At 48.7% G+C, this 22,966-nt stretch overlaps 1 protein-coding gene across 8 annotated transcripts in view, besides 2 other annotated features; it reads right to left on the bottom strand.

Annotated features, from left to right (window-relative positions):
- Nucleotides 2,122–22,966, bottom strand: part of TRPM4 (transient receptor potential cation channel subfamily M member 4) — a 54,045-nt gene continuing 33,200 nt past the window's right edge. For 7 of the 8 annotated variants that reach the window (NM_017636.4, NM_001321282.2, NM_001321281.2 and 4 more), the window contains 9 exons: nucleotides 17,084–17,518; nucleotides 13,526–13,658; nucleotides 13,173–13,347; nucleotides 11,817–11,994; nucleotides 3,553–3,749; nucleotides 3,116–3,248; nucleotides 2,871–2,943; nucleotides 2,689–2,794; nucleotides 2,122–2,464 (listed from right to left, as the gene is read on the bottom strand). In NM_017636.4, the coding sequence (NP_060106.2) occupies nucleotides 2,460–2,464; nucleotides 2,689–2,794; nucleotides 2,871–2,943; nucleotides 3,116–3,248; nucleotides 3,553–3,749; nucleotides 11,817–11,994; nucleotides 13,173–13,347; nucleotides 13,526–13,658; nucleotides 17,084–17,518 (1,435 nt within the window). In that variant the 3' untranslated portion in view covers nucleotides 2,122–2,459. The remainder of the gene's footprint in view (nucleotides 2,465–2,688; nucleotides 2,795–2,870; nucleotides 2,944–3,115; nucleotides 3,249–3,552; nucleotides 3,750–11,816; nucleotides 11,995–13,172; nucleotides 13,348–13,525; nucleotides 13,659–17,083; nucleotides 17,519–22,966) is intronic. The other variant, NM_001195227.2, reaches the window with a different exon arrangement.
- Nucleotides 2,689–3,327: an enhancer, noted in NCBI's record as "H3K27ac-H3K4me1 hESC enhancer chr19:49713888-49714526 (GRCh37/hg19 assembly coordinates)". NCBI's record gives its function as "activates a minimal SCP1, AML or CMV promoter by ChIP-STARR-seq in naive H9 embryonic stem cells {active_cell/tissue: H9 hESC(naive)}" and the evidence as "EXISTENCE:reporter gene assay evidence [ECO:0000049][PMID:30033119]".
- Nucleotides 16,873–17,199: a silencer, noted in NCBI's record as "fragment chr19:49700016-49700342 (GRCh37/hg19 assembly coordinates)". NCBI's record gives its function as "represses an EF-1alpha promoter that drives an FKBP-Casp9 reporter gene in an ReSE screen in phorbol 12-myristate 13-acetate-treated (for megakaryocytic differentiation) K562 erythroleukemia cells {active_cell/tissue: K562(+PMA)}" and the evidence as "EXISTENCE:reporter gene assay evidence [ECO:0000049][PMID:32094911]".

Here is a 22,966-nt window from a genome sequence, read left to right as displayed (position 1 = left end):
CCCAACATCACAGAGCGGAGGCAAGGGTGGATTTGCAGCTGAGAGACAAAAGCTCAAACTTGCACATGGACTGAGTGAGTTCCTGTGACTTCACGGCAGTTGACATTTCCAAATATAAAATCGTGCATTACAGATGCTCTCTGGATTGCCCAGATTTCTGTTCCAACGCAGCCACTTTCCATTTTTATTTTTTATTATTCTTTTGAAACAGAGTCTTGCTCTGTCACCCAGGCTGGAGTGCAGTGGCACAATTTCGGTTCACTGCAATCTCCGCCTCCTGGGTTCAAGTGATTCTCCTGCCTCAGCCTCCCGAGTAGCTGGGACTACAGGTGTCCGCTACCACACCCGGCTAATTTTTGTATTTTTAGTAGTGATGGGGTTTTGCTATATTGGCCAGGCTGGTCTCGAACTCCTGGCCTCAAGTGATCCACTTGCTTGGCTTCCCAAAGTGCTGTTTTACAGGCATGAGCCACCACGCCCAACCCCCAACTCAGCTACTTTCTATGTGTGACTTTATTTGAGCTACTTTTCTGTGTCTCACTTTTCTCATCTGCAAAATGGAGACAATAATAGAACCTACCTTGTATGGTTATCATAGGGTTCACTGATGTAGCGCACGTGAAGCACTTAAAACAATGCTGGACACACATATATAGAAAGTACTGGAGGCCGGGTACGGTGGCTCACGCCTGTAATCCCAGCACTCTGAGAGGCCGAGGTGAGTGGATCACTTGACCCCAGGAGTTTGAGACCAGCCAGGGCAATATGGTGAGACCCCATCTCTACCAAAAATCCAAAAAATTAGCCGGGCATGGTGGTGTGAGCCTGTAGAACCAGCTACTCAGGAGGCTGAGTGGGAGAATTGCTTGAGCCCAGGAGGTGGAGGTTGCAGTGAGCTGTGATTGAGTCACTGCATTTCTGCCTGGGTGACAGAGTGAGACCTTATTGAAAGAAAAGAAGAAAAAGTGGCCGGGTGTGGTGGCTCACACCTGTAATTCCAGCACTTTGGAAGGCCGAGGCAGGCAGATCACCTGAGATGAGGAGTTTGGGACCAGCCTGGCCAACATGGTGAAACCCCGTCTCTACCAAAAATACAAAAATTAGCCGGGCATGGTGGCGGGCACCTGTAATCCTAGCTACTCCAGAGGCTGAGGTAGGAGAACTGCTTGAACCCAGGAAGCGGAGGTTGCAGTGACCTGAGATCGTGCCACTGCACTCCAGCCTGGGTGACAGAGAGAGACTCTGTCTCAAAAAAAAAAAAAAAAAAAAAGAAGAAAAGAAAGGAAGGAAGAAGGAGGGAGGGAAGGAGGGAGGAAGGGAGGAAAGGAGGGAGGGAGGAAGGAAGGAAGGAAGGAAGGAAGGAAGGAAGGAAGGAAGTAGGTTACATTACAGTGATTATTACTACTTGGGTTGGTGAGAACTAACTCAGCATCTTCCAGAGAAGTTGCAGTTGCCACACAACACTTGGCAATGTTTCAACGCTACTCTGCACCCACGGTGACAGATACTTGGATCTCCTCCAATTTGGAGGAAGGATGTTTGGTTTTGATTTTTGGATGTGTTGGTTGTTGGTGGCTTTCTTGCTATTTAACTAATGATTGCTGTCAGTTCAACCTTGTCATTACCAGTTTAGCTTGTTATGGGTTATTTAGTTAAGCTGCATGTATAATCACACATATTTGCCTCAACCCTGTGTGCGCCTGGCCTGCAATTTCCCACTAATTAGACTTTTTAAAGACACGTATGCATTTATCTACTCAAATTTGCATCATCCGTTTCCCTATTGCCAAAGCAGATGTACACAACACCCACCCACCTCCATTCCAGGAAATAATTTGCTTATTATCACTGAGTTATTTTTCCACTGGAAAGTTGAAACTGGGTGGGAGGGGGTACAGATGGGGTCTTGTCCTACTGAAGCGAGAGCCGTCAGAACAGTGCAGACAGAAGTGCTGGGTCTCCGGCAAGAACAATGGGGCTCAAGGGAGGAAACGGACTCCAAAATATCTGAATTACAGCAGCAAATCCACCAAGAACCCCAAACCCAACACCCCAGCTCCAGCTCCCATCCTGGATCTAGACACCCACCAGCTCCCCCAGGAATCAAGCCTCCGGACACGATTCCTCTGAAATGGCTTTATTTCCCCAGTGTGAGGAATCTGTGAGTGGTGAGGGGTCTGTGGTCCCTGTTACCCCAAGGACCCTGCAGCCTCCAGATGGATAACGGCCCGGGATCCAGGCCTTGATCCTCCCAGGCTGGGACTGGTTCTGGGAGGAGCCGGGCATGCTGTGGTTTGTAAGGATGACACTCCCAAAGGTGGTCCTGACAGTGGCCCAGATGGACATGGGGCTCACCTCAAGGACAAGGCCACCAGGTGCGGGGGCCGAGGCCCAGATGAGCCTTACTCTAGGAGCAAAATCCCCTGTGGGGGCTTCTCCTTGAAGTCCGCCAGCAGGGCTCAGTCTGGGGGAAGAGAGAAAAGAGAGAGCAGGTGATTGGCAGGGAAGGGGAGAGACAGAAAAACTGGGAGACTGGCAAAAAAGAAGAAAGACGAAGGCGAGAGTACAAAAGGCTCAAAGGAGACCAAGAGAGTGACCCAGGGACACTGGAAAGGTGCCGAGAGAGAAAAACACGCAAAAATACAGGAACAGAGGCTGGAGATGCACAGGCTGATGCTACACACTGACCTTTGGACCCAGGCAGGTCAGGGGGTGGCGGCCCACCTGGGGGCAGCAAGGCAGAGCGGCTCAGGGCCTCGGCCACCCACCCCAGGACGCGGCTACACTGCTGGACCTGCGGAATGGGAGGAATGTCAGAGCGGGAGATGGGACCCCTGCCACAGTCCCCCAGCCAGGCCCCAAGGCCTCACCTCCCGCTCCAGCACTTTCAGGCGCTGTTCGTACTCGCGGATGTGTCCCAGCTGTTTCAGTGCCAAGTCCACCCTGAGAAGGGAGGGCCTCTTACCGGGGGCACCCGCAGCCCACCCACCCCCAGGGCTCTGCCTGCTTCCCGGGCCTCCTCCCTCTCTCCCTCCCTCCCAGGACCCTGCCTTCAGCTGAAGTCAGGATCCGCCCCAGGCCAGAAGCCCCATCCCCGACCAGGCCCCGCTCTCACTTCTGGGACGTGCGCTTCAGACGCTCGGAGTCGCTCTCCCGCTTGTCCCTAGCGCGTGCCAGCAGAAAGTTCTCCTTATGCACCGATTCCCACGTTAGCAGCTTCCGCTCGGCTTCCTTAGAAAGGTAAACCCCTGCAGGGGCGGGCGGAGTCAAAGGGCTCAGGCCACGCCCCTTCCCAATCCCAGCTGCCCCTTCCGACACCCTCAGAACACGCACGCTATCCCAGACCCAGCCCCTGGTGATTCGAGAACATGCCCCGCCCCTCACCCGTAAGCACTGCCCCTCAGTGCTTAAGCTCCGCCCCTTGTTGCTTAAACCCCGCCCCTCGCTACCTAAGCCACGCCCGTTAGTCATTTGGGGCATGCCCCCTTCCCCTCGCCTTCCAGGCTCCCGGTCCCCTATATTTCTCCTTTTTAAGCCAAGCTCTGTTCTTACGGAAATGCTCGAGGGCCGGGGAGGACGGCTGGGGGCTCCGGGGTCGCCTGCACAATTGCCTGAGCAGGAGGCGCAAGTGGGAGATGACGATAAAGGGCGGGGCCAGCGCGGGCCGAGAGTGGAATTCCCGGATGAGGCGGTAACGCTGCGCCTTCCAGTAGAGATCGCTGTTGCCCTGTACTTTGCCGAATGTGTAACTGCAAAGGCCAGAGGTCAAAGGTCACTTGAGGTCAGGGCCCAGCCAGGGGCAAGGACGAAGGTTAGATGCCAGGCAATAATTGTTCAGTCTATAGCAGCAGACAGAAGTCAAGATCACTAAAGTCAGAGGTTACAGGATGCGATTAGAAGTCAGGTTAGAGCCAAGGGCGTTTGGTCACGCCTGTAGTCCCAGCACTTTGGGAGGCCGGAGTGGGCGGATCACCTCAGGTCAGGAGTTCGAGACCAGCCTGGCTAACATGGTGAAGCCCCATCTCTACTAAAAATACAAAAATTAGCCAGGCGTGGTGGTGGGCACCTGTAATCCCAGCTACTGGGGAGGCTGAGGCAGGAGAATCGCTTGAACCCAGGAGGTGGAGGTTGCAGTGAGCTGAGATCGTGCCACTGCACTCCAGCCTGGGAGACAGAGTAAGACTCCATCTCAAAAAAAAAAAAAAAAAAAAAAAGTCAGTTTAGAAGGGCCAAGGGTCAGATGTCAGAGGTCAAGTTGGGATGGTATCACGGTATAAGGTGGAGGTTGAAGTCAGGTTAAAGTTGGGCTCCAAAGTTAGCCTGGACACAAATAACTAACATCAGAAATGAAAATGGAGACATTACTACTGACCTTACCGAAATAAAAAGGATTGTATGAGAATACTATCAACAATTATATGTCAACAAACTAGATAAATGAAATGGACAAATTCCTAGGAACACACAAATTAGCTAAGCTGACTCAAGAAAAAACAGAAAATCTCAGTAGAATTATCATAAGAGATTGAATCAAAAACGTTTCAATAAAGAAAAGCCCAAAACCAGATGGCTGTGCTGGTGAATTCTATCAAATATTTAAAGAAGAATTATAATAACAAGGATGTTTCTCAAATTCGTCCAAAAGATTGAAAAGGAGAGAACATTTCCTAACTCATTCTATGAGGCCAGCATTACCGTAATACCAAAGCCAGATAAAGATATCACAAGAAAATTACAGAGCAGTAGCCCTTATGAATATACATGTAAACATCCTGAAAAAATACAAGCAAATCTAATTCAGCAGCACATTAAGTGGATTTTATACCATAACGAAATGGGATTTATCCTAGGAAAGTAAGGGTAGTTAAACATACAAAAATTAATGCAAACACCAAATTAATAGAACAAGGTGTGGGGGAAGCCATATGATCTTCTCAACCAACACAGAAAAGGCATTTGACAAAATTCAACAACACTTCACGATTTTTTTTTTTTTTTTTTGATGGAGTCTTGCTCTGTCCCACAGGCTGGAGTGCAGTGGCACAATCTCGGCTCACTGCAAGCTCCGCCTCCTGGGTTCATGCCATTCTCTTGCCTCAGCCTCCTGAGTAGCTGGGACTACAGGCACCCACCACCACGCTCAGCTAACTTTTTGTATTTTTAGTAAAGATGGGGTTTCACCATGTGTGGGCGGCAAGCCACCCAGGTGCCAAGGCAAGAGACCGAGGGCACAAGCTGTTCCAGTGTAATAAAACATATAAAATAACAAGAGTTATACTAGATATAGATCATAGATATGATTATATATGAATATCAATCATTAGTTTGTAGCAATTACTCTTTATTTCAATATTATAATAATCCTTGCTTTACAATCATAACCTAGGAAAAACCAAGCCATACAGAGATAGGAGCTGAAGGGGCATGATGAGAAGTGACCAGAAGACAGAGTGTGAGCCTTCTGTTATTCCTGGACAGGGCCACCAGAGGGCTCCTTGGTCTAGCGGTAACGCCAGCATCTGGGAAGATTCCCGTTACCAAGCGGACCGTGGTCTAGAGGTAGCGTCAGTGCCAAGGAAAAGCACCCACTACTTAGCAGACCGGGAAAGGGAGTCTCCCTTTCCCCGGGGGAGTTTAGAGAAGACTGCTCCACCACCTCTTGTGGAGGGCCTGACTGATGTCAGGCCCGCCCGCAGTTATCCAGGGGCCTAACCGTCTCCCTGTGATGCTGTGCTTCAGCGGTCACACTCCTGTTTCACTTTCATGTTCCACTCTGTACAGCTGGCTCTGCCCTCTAGATAGCAGTAGCAAAATTAGTGAAAGTATTAAAGTATTAAAGTCTTTGATCTTTCTTAAAAGAGCATAGAAGAAATAATGATGTAAGCTGTCCTCTCTCTCTCCGCCTTGGCTACCTAACAGGGAAGGGCCCCTGTCCAGTGGACATGTGACTCACGTGACCTTATCAATCATTGGAGATGACTCACACTCTTTACCCTGCCCCTTTTGCTTTGTATCCAATAAATAACAGCGCAGCCAGGCATTAGGGGCCACTGTCGGTCTCCACGTCTTGGTGGTAGTGGTCCCCCAGGCCCAGCTGTCTTTTCTTTGATCTCTTTGTCTTGTGTCTTCATTTCTACAATCTCTTGTCTCTGCACACGGGGAGAAAAACCCACAGACCTTGTAGGGCTGGCCCCTACAACCGTGTTAGCCAGGATGGTCTCGATCTCCTGACCTCATGATCTGCCCACCTCGGCCTCCCAAAGTGCTGGGATTGCAGGCTTGAGCCACCATGCATGGCTTTTTTTTTTTTTTTTTTTTTTTGAGACAAGGTTTCACTCTGTTGGTGGCACAATCATGATGGTGGTGAAATCATGGCTCACTGAAGCCACAGCCTTGACCTCCTGGGCTCAAGCCTTCCTCCCACCTCAGCCTCTTGAGTAGCTGGGACTACAGGCATGCACCACCACGCCTGGCAAATTTTTTATTTTTTTATTGAGATAAGGTCTCACTATGTTGCCCAGGTCGGTCTTGAACTCCTGGCCTCAAGTGATCCTCCCACTTTGGCTCCCTAAAGTATTGTGATTGCAGGCACAAGCCACCATGCATCATAATTTTTAAAAATCGTAAACTAGGAATAGAAATAAACTTTCTCAACATGAGAAAAGGTACTTCTGAAAAACCCACAGCTACCGTCATACCCAATGGTGAAAGAGTGAAAGCTTTCTGCCTAAGATCAGGGACAAGACAAGGATGTCCACTTTTACCACTGCTATTCCACATTGTGCTGGAAGTTCTGGCTAGAACAATTAAACAAGAAAAAAAATAAAAGGCATCCAAATTGGAAAGGAAGAAGTAAAAATATCTCTATTCACAGATGACATGATCCTATATATAGGAAATGCCAGAGAATCACAAGAAAGCTTCTAGGGCTGCAGATTCAGCAAAGTTGCAGGGTACAAGATCACACAAAAATCAGTTGTGTTTCTACACACCCGCAATGAACAATCCAAAAAGGAAATTAAGAAAGCAATTCCACTTACAACAGTATCTAAAGGTTAAGCACCTAGGAATAAAGTTAACCAAAAGGGTGAACAATTTGTAGCCTGAAAACTACCAAATACTGCTGGAAAAGCATTAAAAAGAACACCTAGATGAAATATCAATACTACCCGAAGCAATCTACAGATTCAACGCAATCCCTCGGAAAATTCCAACAACTGGCCGGGCGCGGTGGCTCACACCTGTAATCCCAGAACTTTGGGAGGCCAAGGCGGGTGGATCACCTGAGGTCGGGAGTTCGAGACCAGCCTGACCAACATGGAGAAACCCTGTCTCTACTAAAAATACAAAATTAGCCGGGCGTGGTGGCACATGCCTATAAGCCCAGCTACTCAGGAGGCTGAGGCAGGAGAATCGCTTGAGCCCGGGAGGCAGAGGTTGTGGTGAGCTGAGATCGCGCCATTGCACTCCAGCCTGGGCAACAAGAGTGAAACTCTGTCTCAAAAAAAAGAAAAAAAAAAAAGGAAAAAAAAAGAAAATTCCAACAACCTTTTTGACAGACATGGAAACTCTGATCTTTAAGTTCATATAGAATTGCAGGAGGCCCAGAATAGCCAAAACAATCTTGAAAAATAACAAAGGAGACTCATACTTCCAATGTCAAAATTTGCTACAAACCTACAGTAATCAACACTGTGTGGGCTAGACATGGTGGCTCACGCCTGTAATCCCAGCACCTTGGAAAGCCGAGGCAGATCACCTGAGGTCAGGAGTTCAAGACTAGCCTGGCCAACATGGTGAAACCCTGTCTCTACCAAAAATACAAAAAAATTAGCCGGGCGTGGTGGCAGGTGCCTGTAATCCCAGCTACTCAGGAGGCTGAGTTAGGAGAATCGTTTGAATCCAGGATGCGGATGTTGCAGTGAGCAGAGATCGTGCCACTGCAATCCCGCCTGGGTGACAAGAGCGAGACTCCGTCTCAAAAAAAACCCAAAAAACTGTGTGGTTCTGGCATAAGGATAGACGCAATCCAGTGGAATAGAATTGAAAGTCCAGAAATAAACTCATAAATCTATGAGTGTCATGCATTGAATTGTATCCCGCTAAAGATATGTTGAAGTCCGGCCGGGTCCAGTGGCTCACGGCTGTAATCCCAGCACTTTGGGAGGCCGAGGCAGGTGCATCACCTGAGGTCAGGAGTTTGAGATCGGCCTGGGCAACATGGTGAAACCCCGTCCCTACTAAAAATACAAAAATTAGCTGTGTATAGTGGCAGGCACCTGTAATCCCAGCTACTCGGGAGGCTGAGGCAGGAGAATCCCTTGAACCCAGGAGGTGGAGGTTGCAGTGAGCCGAGATCACGCCATTGCACTCCAACCTGGGTGACAGAGCAAGACTCTGTCTCCAAAAAAAAAAAAAAAAAAAAAAAAAAGTTGAAGTCATAACCCATAGTGCCTCAGAATGAGACCTTTTTAAATTTTTTATTTATGAAATATGTGGCTTTATTCGGAAATAGAGTTTACACATGTGATCAAGTTAAAATGAAGTTATTAGCATGGTCCCTAATCCAATTTAAGTAACGTTTTATTAAAAGGGGAAATCTGGAAGATGAAAGCAGAAGTTTCAATGACGCAACTAGAAGCCAAAGATGGCCAGCAAAGCACTAGACGTGACAGGAGGGGCATGGAACAGACTCTCCCCGACATCCCTCAGAAGAAAACAGCTTGACGGATGCCTTGATTTTGGACCTCTAGCATCCAGAATTGTGAGACAATTTCTGTGATTTAAAGCCACACAGTTTTTGGTACTCTGGCGGCCCTAGGAAACTAATACAATAGGTCCAGCACAGGGGCTTGTGCCTATAATCCCAGCACTTTGGAAGGCCAAGGCAAGAGGACTGCTTGAGCCCAGGGGTTCAAGATCAGCCTGGGCAATATAGTAAGACCCCATCTCTGAAAAAAAAAAAAAAAAAAAAACAACCAAAGCCAATGAAATTTTATATTTTCTCAGCAAAAATCATGCCAACAAGAAAGGAAGCAAACAGAGAGACCTAACATAGGATTAAAAAGGAGTTTCATTAAAAAAAAAAAAAATAGCCGCTGGGCACGGTGGCTCACGCCTGTAATCCCAGCACTTTGGGATCCAGCCGAGATGGGTGGATCACAAGGTCAGGAGATCGAGACCATCCTGGATAACATGGTGAAACCCCGTTTCTACTAAAAATAAATAAATAAAATAAAAGTAAAAAAAAAATTAAAAAAACAAGCCAGGTATGGTGGCACGTAACTGTAGTCCCAGCTACTTGGGAGGCTGAGGTGGGAGGATCACTTGAGCCCAGGAGGTTGAGGCTGCAGGTGTGAAGTGGTATCTCATTTCTGGTGTTTTGGTAGAGACAGCAGCCTCGCTATGTTGCCCAGGCTGGTCTCGAACTCTTGTGCTCAAGCAATCCTCCCACCTCAGCCCCCCAAAGTGCTGGGATTACAGGCATGAGCCACTACACCCAGCTGGATGACTATAATTTTTACAAAAGGAAAATAACAAGTGTTGGCTAGGATGTGGAGAAATTAAAACCCTCATACACTGCTGGTGAGAATGGAAAATGGTGCAGCTGCTGTGGAAACCAGTTTGGTGGTTTCTCAAAAAGCTATACATAGAATTACCACATGACCGAGGAATTCCACTTTGAGATACACACCCAAAGGAAATAAAAACAAGGATTCAAATAGATACTTGCATGCCAATGTTCCAACAAACATTAGTCACAATAGCCAAAAGGCAGAAAGAACCCAAGTGTTCATCAACAGATGAGCGGGTAAATCAAATGTGGTCTTCTTTTTTTGAGATGGAGTCTCGCTCTGTTGCCCAGGCTGGAGTGCAGTGGCACGATCTTGGCTCACTGTAGCCTCCGCCTCCTGGGTTCAAGCGACTCTCGTGCCTGAGCCTCCCAAGTAGCTGGAATTACAGACATGAGCCCAGCTAATTTTTGTATTTTTAGTAAAAAGGGGGTCCTGCCACGTTGGCCAGGCTGGTCTCGAACTCCTGACCTCAGGTGATCCACCCGCCTAGGCCTCCCAAAGTGCTGGGATTACAGGCATGAGCCACCACGCTGGGCCCAAATGTGGTCTATTTGTACAATAGAATATTACTCATTCATAAAACGGAATGAATGAAGTTCTGATGCACACTACAACAGGGATGAGCCTTGAAAACATGCTCAGTAAAATCAGCCAGACACCAAAAGACAAATATCGCATAATTCCACTTACATGAAACATCTAGACTAAATCCATAGAGACAGAAAATACACTGGAGGTTACTAAGACCTGTGGGGAGGGGAAGTGGGGAGTTGCTGTTTCATGGGGACACACTTTCTGTTCTGGGTGATAGAACGTATTGAAAATAGATAGTGGTGATGGTTGGAGAGTACTGTAAATGTAATTAATGTCACTGACTTGTACACTTAAAAATGGTAAAAATCAACTCCGGCCGCGGTGGCTCATGTCAGTAATCCCAGCACTCTGGGAGGCCAAGGCGGGCGGATCACAAGGTCAGGAGATCGAAACCATCCTGGCTAACACGGTGAAACCCCATCTCTACTAAAAATACAAAAAATTAGCCAGGTGTGGTGGCGCACGCCTGTAGTCCTAGCTACTTGGGAGGCTGAGGCAGGAGAATCGCTTGAACCTGGGAGGTGGAGGTTGCAGTAAGCTGAGATTGCACCATTGCACTCCAGCCTGGGCGACAGAGCGAGACTCCATCTCAAAAAAAGGCGGGGCGCGGTGGCTCACGCCTGTAATCCTAGCACTTTGGGAGGCCAAGGCGGGTGGATCACGAGGTCAGGAGATTGAGACCATCCGGGTTAACACGGTGAAACTCCGTCTCTACTAAAAATACAAAAAAATTAGCTGGGCGTGGTGGCGGGCACCTGTAGTCCCAGCTACTCAGGAGGCTGAGGTAGGAGAATGGCGTGAACCCGGGTGGCGGAGCTTGTAGTGAGCTGAGATTGTGAGATCGTGCCACTGCACTCTAGCCTGGGTGACACAGCGAGACTCCGTCAAAAAAAAAAAAAAAAAAAAAGAAGTAAAAATGGAAAATTTTATATAATTTTACCACAATAAAAAACAAAGTTGGCTGGGCGCGATGGCTCACACCTGTAATCCCAACACTTTGGGAGGCTGAGGTGGGCCAATCACTTGAGGTCAAGAGTTCAAGGCCAACATGGTGAAACCCTATCTCTACTACAAATACAAAAAATTAACTGGGTATGGGGGAGTGGGAAGTGGAGGTTGCAGTGAGCTGAGAACTTGCCACTACACTCCAGCCTAGGTGACAGATTATCCCAGCACTTTGGGAGGCTGAGGAGGGAGGATCACTTGAGTCCAGGAGCTCGAGACTAGCATGGACAACATAGTGAGACCCCTCTCTCCAAAAATTTTTTTAAATTAGGCAGGCCTGCTGGCCTGGCTAATTTTAAGTAGTCCCAGCTACTTATGGGGCGAAGGCAGGAGGATTGCTTGAGTCCAGGAGGTCGAGGCTGCAGTAAGCTACGATCACATCACCACACTCTAGCCTTGGCGACAGAGTGAGACCCTGTCTCAAAAAAATACAAATAAGGAAGTTCAACCTGGGCTCAGGGAGAGGATCAGTCCAAAGTCCAAATTACAAGCAGGGTCTGGTTGGGTTTGGGGAGAAGGCAGCATTAGATTGGATCAGAGTTCAGGGACTAAAAACAGAATTCATTAGACGGGGTTCAAGAGTCATGAGAGGGCCACGGGTCATGCTGGGTGGGGTCAGATCAGAGAGCAGTCAGGCCTCACCTGAACATGGCAATGAGCAAGTTGACCAGCAGGATGTTGGCCACGAGCAGGAAGATGACGAGGAGCAGCACCACCAGCCAGTTGGCATACTGGGAGACGCAGGTGCCCGCCTGGGCCCCAGGAGGGTGTGCCCAGAAGCCGGGCTCCGACGAGCAGTTGCTGTGCTCCATGAGGGCCACTGTGAAGAGAGACATTCAGAGATGGGGTGAGGGGGACAGAGACCTAAGAAAGACAGGAAGACTGCCGGGCGCGGTGGCTCACGCCTGTAATCCCAGCACTTTTGGGAGGCTGAGATGGCCGGATCACCTGAGGTGGGGAGTTTGAGACTAGCCTGACCAATGTGATGAAACCCCATCTCTACTAAAAACACAAAACTGTTAGCCAGGCGTGGTGGCACGCGCCTGTAGTCCCAGCTACTCGGGAGGCTGAGATAGGAGAATCGCTTCGATCTGGGAGGTGGAGGTTGCAGTGAGCTGAGATCGTGCCATTGCACTCCAGCCTGGGCAACAAGAGCAAAACTCCATGTAAAAAGTAAAGTACAGGTTCCTCTTCAAAGACTTTCCTCCCCATCTAATTAACAATAAATAGTAACTTCTCTTAGAAACAAAATTTATTCAAACACCTGTGCTAACATTCTTAAATATCTACTAGCCATAAAAAATAAATCAATGTACTTTATGTTCTTAGCTCTCACAATTTAGCCTAAATATTTGCCCTGACATACTTATACTGGTTCAAGCAAGCATTAGATCATAGCCTGTTCCTCTTCCTTATTTAAAAGTGTTTTTACCTTTCTCAACATTCCACAAGTTACTTCCTCCTTCCTTTGTTCTCCTCTGCCTTCGCTTCTTTTAAAAACTTCTAAGTTACTAGCCAATCAAGACAAATACAAAATGTAAAGTCCGGTTCCAGCCAATAAAAACCAGACACAGCAGTAAAATAGACGCGTCAGGTTATAAATGACCCTATCTCCTTTGTTCCGTGTACTCTCATGACAAAACTGCTGGCGAGTGTACCCTTTCTACAAAAAATAAAAATGGCTTTACTAAAAAAATTAAATTTATGTTCAAGTACTATTTCTTTACGACACCACAAAATAAACATTTCTAACATCCATCTCAAAAAAAAAGAAAAAAAAAAAGAAAAAAGAAAGACAGACAGAAAGACAGAGGGGGTGGGGTAGGCAGAGACCCAGAGAGATGATGATGGGGAATATAGGGTATCACTCAGAGATCCAGAGAAAGAGGGAGACAGAGACTCAGAGAGACAGATATTTTCTTAGAGCCAGGAGGACAGAGACCCAGGGAGCGGGGACAGAGACTCAGAGGAAGGCTGTCAGGCCGTCATCCCCCCTACCGTCCATGTCCTCCTGGGGAATCTGCCCGAAGATCTGCAGGTAGGGACGGTAGAAGACGCGGCGCAGGATACTTGGGAAGTCACTGTCCCGTGGCCTCAGGAGCCCCTCCGTGGCCACGCCATAGGCTACCAGCCACACGCCGAGGAAGAAGAGGAAGAAGAACACGTCCTTCATCTGTGGGGAGATGTGGCTGAGTCTGGCCCCGCCCTTTCCTACTCTGGCCCCACCCCTATATCCCAAAAACACGCCCCATTGCTCCCCAAAGTCACGCCCCTTCTCCACGGACCACTCCCTCCCTGGCCCCACCCCTTTCCCTATGTCCCCGCCCACTTTGGCCCCGCCCCTGCCTCACCATCTTGCTCACGATGACGATCTTGGGCCCCAGCTGTTTGTTGACCGTGAAGATGTGAAGCAGCCGCACCGTGAAAACCATGAAGTCGATGCAGAGGACAGTGCGGCCCAGGTGGTACAAACCCGGGGTCAGCCTGGGGTGTGGGGAGATGCCACAAGGGTCAAGTGTCACAAGACGCCAAGGAAAATGGAAGTCTTCCCAATGCCATCCTTCAGAGGAAGCTGCAGCCTCCACCGGGCAGGACCAGGACCCTCCCAGTCACCCGGGGTTTACTCAAATTTATTCAGTACCAAGCTGGTCCATGCAGGGCCCTGGCACCCATTTTTAAAATGGCTGCGCCTATTAAGTAATGACTGAATGAACGATGGCCTTAGCAAAGAGCTGGTCCCTGTAAGAATCAAGCTGGAAAAACTGCCGGAATATCTGTCCAACCTATAAAAGGCAAAACATATAGAGTCCTTACAAACTAATACGCAAAAGGAAGGAAGCCAGATAAAGGATACCACGTACAATTCACAGAGGACGTTCAAACGGCCAGTAAACATCAATAATTCCTATGGGGAAAATAAAAATTCTACCCCTATTTTGCATCCTCATGTACTTAAACTTTGGATGGATTAAAAACCTAGTGTATGGACAGACGCGGTGGCTCACGCCTGTAATCCCAGCACTTTGGGAGGCCGAGGCAGGCTCAAAAAAAAGAAAAGAAAAGAAACATACAAAAGTGAAAGTGAAAAGACAAGCCACAGACTTCGAGAAGATATGAAGATATTAAGACCAACAAAACTACCGAGGATTAGGATCCAGAGTATAAGGAGTATATACATTTATACATATACAAATCAATGAACCCCAATTAAAAAAACGGGAGGGTGGCCGGTCGCAGTGGCTCACGCCTGTAATCCTAGCACTTTGGGAGGCCGAGGCGGGCGGATCACGGGGTCAGGAGATCGAGAACATCTTGGCTAACACGGTGAAACCCCGTCTCTACTACAAAATACAAAAAATTAGCCGGGCGTGGAGGCAGGCACCTGTAGTCCCAGCTACTCAGTAGGCTGAGGCAGGAGAATGGCGTGAACCCGGGAGGCGGAGGTTGCAGTGAGCCGAGATCGCGCCACTGCACTCCAGCCTGGGCTACAGAGCGAGACTCCGTCTCAAAAACAAAAACAAAAACAAAAACCAAAAAAAAAACAAGGGGGCACAAGGACATATGGCCATTAAGCTTAGGAAAAGATGTCCAACCTATCTGGTAGTCAAGAGTGCATAAATTATAACAAGGAGAGGTCATGTTTACCCATTAAATTGGCAAATTTTTTTTCAGTTAAATTGAGAGCTACATTTTAGAGTGAAAGTATCAGGCATTGTCGAGCATGGCCTCAAGGGGGCACTCTCTTACCCTGATGGCAGGTGTGGAAATGAGTGAAGCTACTTAGAAGGAAATCTATCCATGTCAAAAATAAATGTACCCTTTGACCCATAAACTTTACATCTGGGATGTAAACTTTTATTATTTTGGAATAATAAAAAAACAGAAGGCTGAGCATAGTAGCTCACGCCTGTAATCCCAGCACTTTGAGAGGCCAAGGTGGGAGGATTGCTTGAGCCCTGGAGTTTGAGACCAGCCTGGGCAACAGAGTGAGACCCTGTCTCTATTTAAAACAAAAAAAGAAAGAAAGAGAGAACCTAAATGTCCATCTAGAGGGAACTGGCGAAACAAAGGATGATTCATCCATTCAATTCCGGAGATGATTAGACATTTCTCCCTTTTTTTTTTTTTTTTTTTTTTGACAGAGTTTTGCTCTTTTCACCCAGGCTAGAGTGCAGTGGCATGATCTTGGCTCACTGCAACCTCCGCCTCCCAGGTTCAGGCAATTATCCTGCCTCAGCCTCCCGAGTAGCTGGGATTACAGGCGCCTGCCACCATGCCCGGCTAATTTTTTGTATTTTTAGTAGAGATGGGGTTTCACCATGTTGGGCAGGCTGGTCTCAAACTCCTGATCTCAGGTGATCCACCCGCCTCGGCCTCCCAAAGTGCTGGGATTACAGGCATGAGCCACCACGCCAGGCCCGTTTCTCCCTTTTAAGCTGAGATCTTTCCATTTTTCACCTGGAAAGTGGTAGGCTTGATAAACTGTCCAAAATATCACTGGCAATCCTAGAGCATGGTAGCATATGGCCTTAGCCCTTTCATCTCAAAAGTCACTTTATACAAAATACAACAAATTACAAACAGAAGTATTAGTGTTCTGCAAAACTCTCATATCTTGCTCCCTGCTTGAATAAATTATTTATGTTGAATCACTTTGTAACACTGCTAACATAGCTTAGAGGAAGCCTGCCTCTCAGCGTGTCTACTGGGAAAAGCTTGAGTAGGGATCATCACTGTCATCACTGTCAACCATTCAGGATGTGTCAGGTCCCTTGTAAACAGTCACCAGGTTGTTGGCCAGGCACGGTGACCCACATCTGTAATCTCAGCACTTTCAGAGGCTAAGGCCAGTGGATCACTTGAGGCCAAGAGTTCAAGACCAGCCTGGTCAATATGGCAAAGCCCCATCTCTACAAAAAAAATACAAAAAAAATTTAGCTAGGTGTAGTGGTGCATGCCTGTAATCCCAGCTACTCACGAGGCTGAGGCAAGAGAATCGCTTGAACCCAGGAGGTGGAGGTTGCAGTGAGCCAAGATCGTACCACTGCACTCCAGTCTGGGCGACACAGCGGAACTCTGGCTCAAAAAAAAAAAAGAAAAGAAAGAAAACAAAAACAAACAAACAAACAAAAAACCAGTCACCAGGTTGTATCCACAAACTTTTCTGTTTGCTCTCCTCAAAAGGAGGAGTATCCTAATGCAGGATACTCCATAATGCAGGCAGGGCAAGGGTTAAACCCTTAGCTTGGAGGGATGGAAGGAAGCATAGAAGGAAGGAAGGAAGGAAGGAAGGAAGGAAGGAAGGAAGGAGGGAGGGAGGCAGAGGGGCAGAGGACAGAGGGAGAGAGAGAGAAAGAAAAGAGAAAAAGAAAAAGAAAAGAAAGGAAAAGAAAAGAGAAAGAAAGAAAAGAAAGAGAGAGAAAGAAAGAAAGAAAGAAAGAAAGAAAGAAAGAAAGAAAGAAAGAAAGAAAGAAAAAGAAAGAAAGAGAAAGAAAGAAAGAAAAAAAAAGGAAAGAAAGAAAAAGTCGGGGGCAGGAGGGCAAGGGGCCTGGGACCAACGAGCTATGTGGAGGAAGAGAAGGGAGGAGGTGAGGTTGGCACCCAGGTCGGGGCGCTCCCATAAATATCTGTTAAACTTCAGGCCTAGCAATAAATAGCAGCAGAGGCTGAGTGGCGGACAGTGGGGTTTTCTCCTGAATCCTGCCGTCCCTGAAGCCAGATCTCCAGGTGCCAGCCAATTACCCTGGGGCAATCGTCATGCCCGACTTTCCTAAGAGGGGTTCTCAATCAGCAGGGTTGGCTTGACCTGCTGCCCAGCTGCGGGGAAGCCGGGAGTGGAGACCCCGGGAGTGGGCAGGAAGGATGAGAGGTGGCCAGGGGCCAGGGTTCCAAGGCCCCGGGGCACTCACCGGCAGCCCACGCCCAGGAGGAAGCAGGTGAGAGCCACTAGGTCGCACTGGTTCCAGCTGTCGGCGAGGTAGAGGCGCAGGCGCTGGCTCAGTGAGGCATGGCCAGGCCCGGGGCCCCCGCTGGCGAGGCTGCCCCCGCCTCCGCTCAGGCCCTGGCGCAGTTCCTCGCACAGCAGCGTGAAAGCCCAGAAATAGAGCAGCAGCTCCAGGGAGCCGGGCGGCGCCGGCTGGAAATCCACGAGCAGCACCCGCGAGAAAAGCAGCAGGAACAGCAGGTAGCTGACCACGTTGCCCATGAAGATGGTCACCGGCGCGCCCCAGAAGTGGAACCAGCGGCGTAGGCACCGGCGCCCCCCGCAGCGGCCCCCGCAGCAACCCGGACGGCCCGACTGGCGCGGGACCCCCAGCGGCGTCTTCTCGGCTGGGTCCGCCGTCCTGTGGGGGAAGAGAAGAGAAGGGAGGAGGCCTCACTCTGACCTCTGAGTCCTGATCTCCACCATCATCGAGACTTTTGGCTTGGCACATCTCACCCTGCCTGACCCGAAACTCAGTCTGCCCAGAGCTAATTTCTTGGGTTTTGACTCTTGTATCTAACCTCTGACCTCTGAAATCTCCGGTCAAGAGGTGGATTGATCGCTTGAGCCGAGGAGTTGGAGACCAGCCTGGCCAACATGGCAAAACCTCATCTCTACAAAAAATATTTTAAAAATATACCCGGATCGGGCGCGGTGGCTCACGCCTGTAATCGCAGCACTTTGGGAGTTAAGGCGGGCAGATCACCTGAGGTAGGGAGTTCGAGACCAGCCTGGCCAACATGGTGAAACCCTGTCTCTACTAAAAATACAAAAATTAGCCGGGTCTGGTGGCGCATGCCAGTAGTCCCACATACTCGGGAGGCTGAGGCGGGAGAATCGCTTGAACCTGGGAGGCAGAGGTTGCAATGCACTGCAGCCTAGGCGACAGAGTGAGACTCTGTCTCAAAAATAATAATAATAATAATAATAAAATAAATAAAAATAAAAATTTAGCCAGTAGTAGGGGCAAGCACCTGTAGTCCCAGCTACTGGGGAGGCTGAAATGGGAGGATCACTTGAGTACAGGAGGCCCAGGCTGCAGTCAGCCATGAACATGCCACTGCACTCCAGCTTGGGCAATAGAGCGAGACCCTGTCTAAAAAAAAAAAAAAAAAAATTAAAGTAGAAACGGGCTGGGCGCGCTAGCTCACGCTTGTAATCCCAGCATTTGGGGAGGCCGAGGCAGGCAGATCAGCTGAGGTCGGGAGTTCGAGACCAGCCTGACCAACATGGAGAAACCCCGTCTCTACTAAAAATACAAAATTAGCCTGGCGTGGTGGCGCATGCCTGTAATCCCAGCTACTTGACAGGCTGATGCAGGAGAATCGCTTGAACCCGGGAGGCGGAGGTTGTGGTGAACTGAGGTCGCGCCATTGACTCCAGCCTGGGCAACGAGAGCAAAACTCCGTCTCAAAAAATAAAAAAATAAAGAAGAAGAAGAAGAAAAGACCATAGAGTGCATGGCTCCACTTATGTGAAGTGTGCAAAACAGGCAAACCCAGAGACAGCAGGTACATGAATGGTGGCCTAGGGCTGGGAAAACGAAAAGCAGTGCTAAGCATGTACAGAGTTTCTTGTTGGAGTGATGACAATATTTGAAAATGAATTGTGGAAATGATTTCACAATTCTGTGAGTACACCAAGAAGCACTGAATTGTATACCTTAAGTAAGTGAACGGTATGATATGTGGATTACAGCTCAATAAAGCTGCCATTTAAAAAAAAAGAAAAAAAAGTGAGGCTGGGCGTGGTAGCTCAAGCCTGAAATCCCAGCACTTTGGGAGGCCAAGGTGAGCAGATTGCTTGAGCCCAGGAGTTCAACACCAGCCTGGGCAACATGGTGAAACCCCATCTCTACAGAAAAAAAAAAAAAAATTAGCCAGGTGTGTTTATACCTGCAGTCCCAGCTACTCAGGAGGCTGAGGCAGGAGAATCACTTGACACTGGGAGGTTGAGGCTGCAGTGAGCCAAGATCAAGCTACTATACTTCAGCGGAGGCAACAGAGTGAGACCTTGTCTCAGAAGGGAGGAAGGAAGGGTTGGGGGGAGGGAGAGAGGGAGGGAGGGAAGGAGATAGAGAAAGAAAGAAAAGAGAGGGAGGAAGGAAGGAAGAAAAGAAGGAAGGAAGGGAGGGAGGGACAGAGAGAGAAAGAGAGAGAGAAAGAAAGGGAAGGAAAGAAAGGAAGGAAGGAAAGAAAAGGAAAGGAAAGGAAGGAAGGAAAGAAGGAAGGAAGGAGGAAGGAAGGAAATAAGTGAGGCCAAGCGCAGTGGTGTATGCCTGTAATCCCAGCACTTTGGGAAGCCGAGGTGGGAAGATCACTTAAGCCTTCGAATTTGAGACCAGCCTGGGCAACATGGCGAAACCCCATCTCTACAAAACATATAAAAATTAGCCGAGCATAGCATGCATCTGTAGCTACTTGAGAGGCTGAGGTGGGAGGATGGCTTAGCCTGGGAGGTTGAGGGTGCAGTAAGCCATGATCGCGCCACTGCTCTCCAGCCTGAGTGACAGATCAAGATCCTGTCTCAAAGAAGAAGAAAGGAGAAGGAGAAGGAGGATGAAGAGAAGGCAGAGGAGCAGGAGGAGGAGGAGCAGGAGAAGGAGGATGAGGAGAAGGCGGAGAAGCAGGAGCAGGAGGAGGAGGATGAAGAGGAGGAAGAGGAGAAGGAGGATGAAGAGGAGAAGTAGGATGAGGAGAAGGCGGAGGAGCAGGAGCAGGAGGAGGATGAAGAGGAGAAGTAGGATGAGGAGAAGGCGGAGGAGCAGGAGCAGGAGGAGGATGAGGAGGAGGAAGAGAAAGAGGATGAGGAGAAGGAGGAAGAGGAGGAGGATGAGTAGGAAGAGGAGGAGAAGGAGGAGGAGGATGAAGAGGAGGAGGAGAAGGAGGATGACGAGGAGGAGGAGAAGGAGGATGACAAGGAGGAGGACAAGGAGGAGAAGGAGGAGGAGAAGGAGGAGAATAGTGAAAGCTACAGAAACTAAGAACTCCTAGAGAAAGAAGGTCAGATGCAGAGAGGACAGCAAGCTCCCTACTGATAGAGAAAACCATCATGGTATTTCACAGTTCTCCTGCAGAATCCTGGTAAGAAGGGAGAGCGGTGGGTCAGAAAGCTTCCCCCACATCTGCCATCTTGAATCACCTCCAGCCAGGCCACAGGCAGGTTCCTGGGCTCAGCCCCAGCCTCTCTGGGGGGATCTTGGGATCTGTCCTTCAACAGAGCTCTCAGTGGGGGGGCTCCACAGGGGCTGAGAGCACAGACTCAGGTACAAGAGGATCTGGGATCAAATCTCGGCTCTACCATTTACCAACCACATGATCTGAGGCAAGTGACTGAATGACTCCATTATTTCACCTGCAAAATGAGAATAATTATAGGCCCTATTGCACTGGGTTGTTGGAATTAAACGAACTGATTTCCGGACGGGTGCGGTGGCTCATGCTTGTAATCCCAGCACTTTGGGAGGCCGAGGCGGGCAGATCACGAGGTCAGGAGATCGAGACCATCCTGGCTAACACGGGGAAACCCCAGCTCTACTAAAAATACAAAAAAATTAGCCGGGCGTGGTGGCGGGCACCTGTAGTCCCAGCTACTCAGGAGGCTGAGGCAGGAGAATGGTGTGAACCCGGGAGGAGGAGCTTGCAGTGAGCCGAGATCATGCCACTGCACTCCAGCCTGGGCGACAGAGTAAGACTCCATCTCAAAAAAAAAAAAAAAAAACCAACTGATTTTCAAAAGAATTGAGCACAGTAGTTGCTCATTGTACGTGTTTCATAACATCAGCTGTTATCAAGGTCGTCATCATCATCACATGTGCAGATGAGAAATTGCTAGGGAAGGACACCATTACTGATCCTGACCTCAGACACTGGGGCCTTCTATCAACCTTTCTCAGTGGTCCAAATGTTTATCTTAGTTTTTCCCTTCTCTCTTGATACATATTTTGTTCTTTTTTTTATTTTTTGACGTTTATTTTTAGTTCAGAGGTACATGTGCAGGTTTGTTAGGTAGGTAAATTTGTGTCATGGGGGTTTGTTGTACAGATTATTCCATCACCCAGGTATTTAGCCTAGTACCCACTAGTTATTTTTCCTGGTCCTCTCCCTCGCCCTACCCTCTGTCCTCCAATAGGCCCCAATGTGTGTTGTTTCACTCTGTGTGTCCATGTGTTCTCATCATTTAGTTCTTACTTATAAGTGAGAACATGGGGTATTTGGTTTTCTGTTCCTGTTAGTTTGTTATGGATAATGGCCTCCAGCTCCAACCATGTCACTGCAAAGGAAATGATCTCGTTCTTTTTTATGGCTACAGATAAATATTTTGTATCCTCTCTACATTGTCTTAAAAAACTATATATAGGCCAGGCATGGTGGCTCATGCCTGTAATCCCAGCATTTTGGGAGGCTGAGGAGGACAGATCACAAAGTCAGGAGATGGGGAGCATCCTGGCCAACATGGTGAAACCCCGTCTCTACTAAAAATACAAAAAAATTAGCTGGGCGTGGTGGCAGGTGACTGTAATCCCAGCTACTTGAGAGGCTGAGGCAGGAGAATCGCTTGAACTCAGGAGGCGGAGGTTGCAGTGAGATGAGATCGCGGCACCGCACTCCTGCCTGGCGACAGAGCAAGACTCCGCCTCAAAAACAACAACAAAAAAAGAAGTTTGATAAATATTCTATTTCATTTGCTTAGGCCTGACTTTTAAAATACCTTAACGGCAACCATAGCATAGTGATTAAAAGCAGGGGCCTTGGGACCACGAACAAAATAGGTGAAAAATCCCTCAATCAACTGATTCCGCTTGCTACAGAGGGATGGAAGTATGTGTAGCATGAAGAAAATCAATTTCTGGTGATGGCCTCCTTGATGGCAGAACCAAATCTTGAGCCAAGTCTTGAGCTTGGCACCTGGGAAGCTTCCTCAGTATCTCAGTCCCTGATGGGACGTGTGATATAGTTTGGATGTTTGTCCCTTCCAAATCTCACATTGAAATGTAATCCCTGGGCCAGGCATGGTGGCTCATGCCTGTAATCCCAGTACTTTGGGAGGCTGAGGCGGGCGGATCACAAGGTCAGGAGTTCAAGACCAGCCTGGCCAATGTGATGAAACCCTGTCACTACTAAAAGTACAAAAGTTAGCCAGGTGTGGTGGTGGGCTCCTGTAGTCCCAGCTATTCGGGAGGCTGAGGCAGGAGAATCGCTTGAACCCAGGAGGCGGAGATCACACCACTGCACTCCAGCCTGGTCGACAGAGCGAGACCCCATTTCAAAAAAGAAAGAAAGAAATGTAATCCCTGGCTGGGCCCGGTGGCTCACACCTGTAATCCCAGCACTTTGGGAGGCCAAAGTGCGCGGATCACTTGAGGTCAGGAGGTTGACACCAGCCTGGCCAACATGGTGAAATCCCGACTCTACTTTAAAGATACAAAAATTAGCTGGGCGTAGTGGCATGCACTTCTACTCCCACCTACTTGGGAGGCTGAGGCAGGCTGATCAGGAACCCAGGAAACAGAGGCTGCAGTGAGCCAAGATTGTACCACTGCACTCCAGCCTGGGCAACTGAGGGAGACTCCGTATCAAAAAAAAAGAAAAAAAGAACAAAGAAATGTAATCCCTAATGTTGGAGGTGGGGCCTGGGGGAAGTGTTTGGGTCCTGGTGGTGGGTCCTTCACAAATGGCTCAGCACCATCCCTTTGGAGACTTTTTGCTCAGTTAGTTCACATGAGATCTATGTGGCACCCCTACTCCTGCTTCTGCTCTCGCCATGTGATACACTGGCTCCTCCCTCACTTTCTGCCATGAGTGGAAGC

This window comes from Homo sapiens, chromosome 19 (genome assembly GCF_000001405.40).
Source record: "Homo sapiens chromosome 19, GRCh38.p14 Primary Assembly".
Classification (NCBI taxonomy): Eukaryota; Metazoa; Chordata; class Mammalia; order Primates; family Hominidae; genus Homo; species Homo sapiens.
The sequence above is the reverse complement of the archived record's forward strand: the minus strand, read 5'-3'. Positions and strand labels throughout refer to the sequence as shown.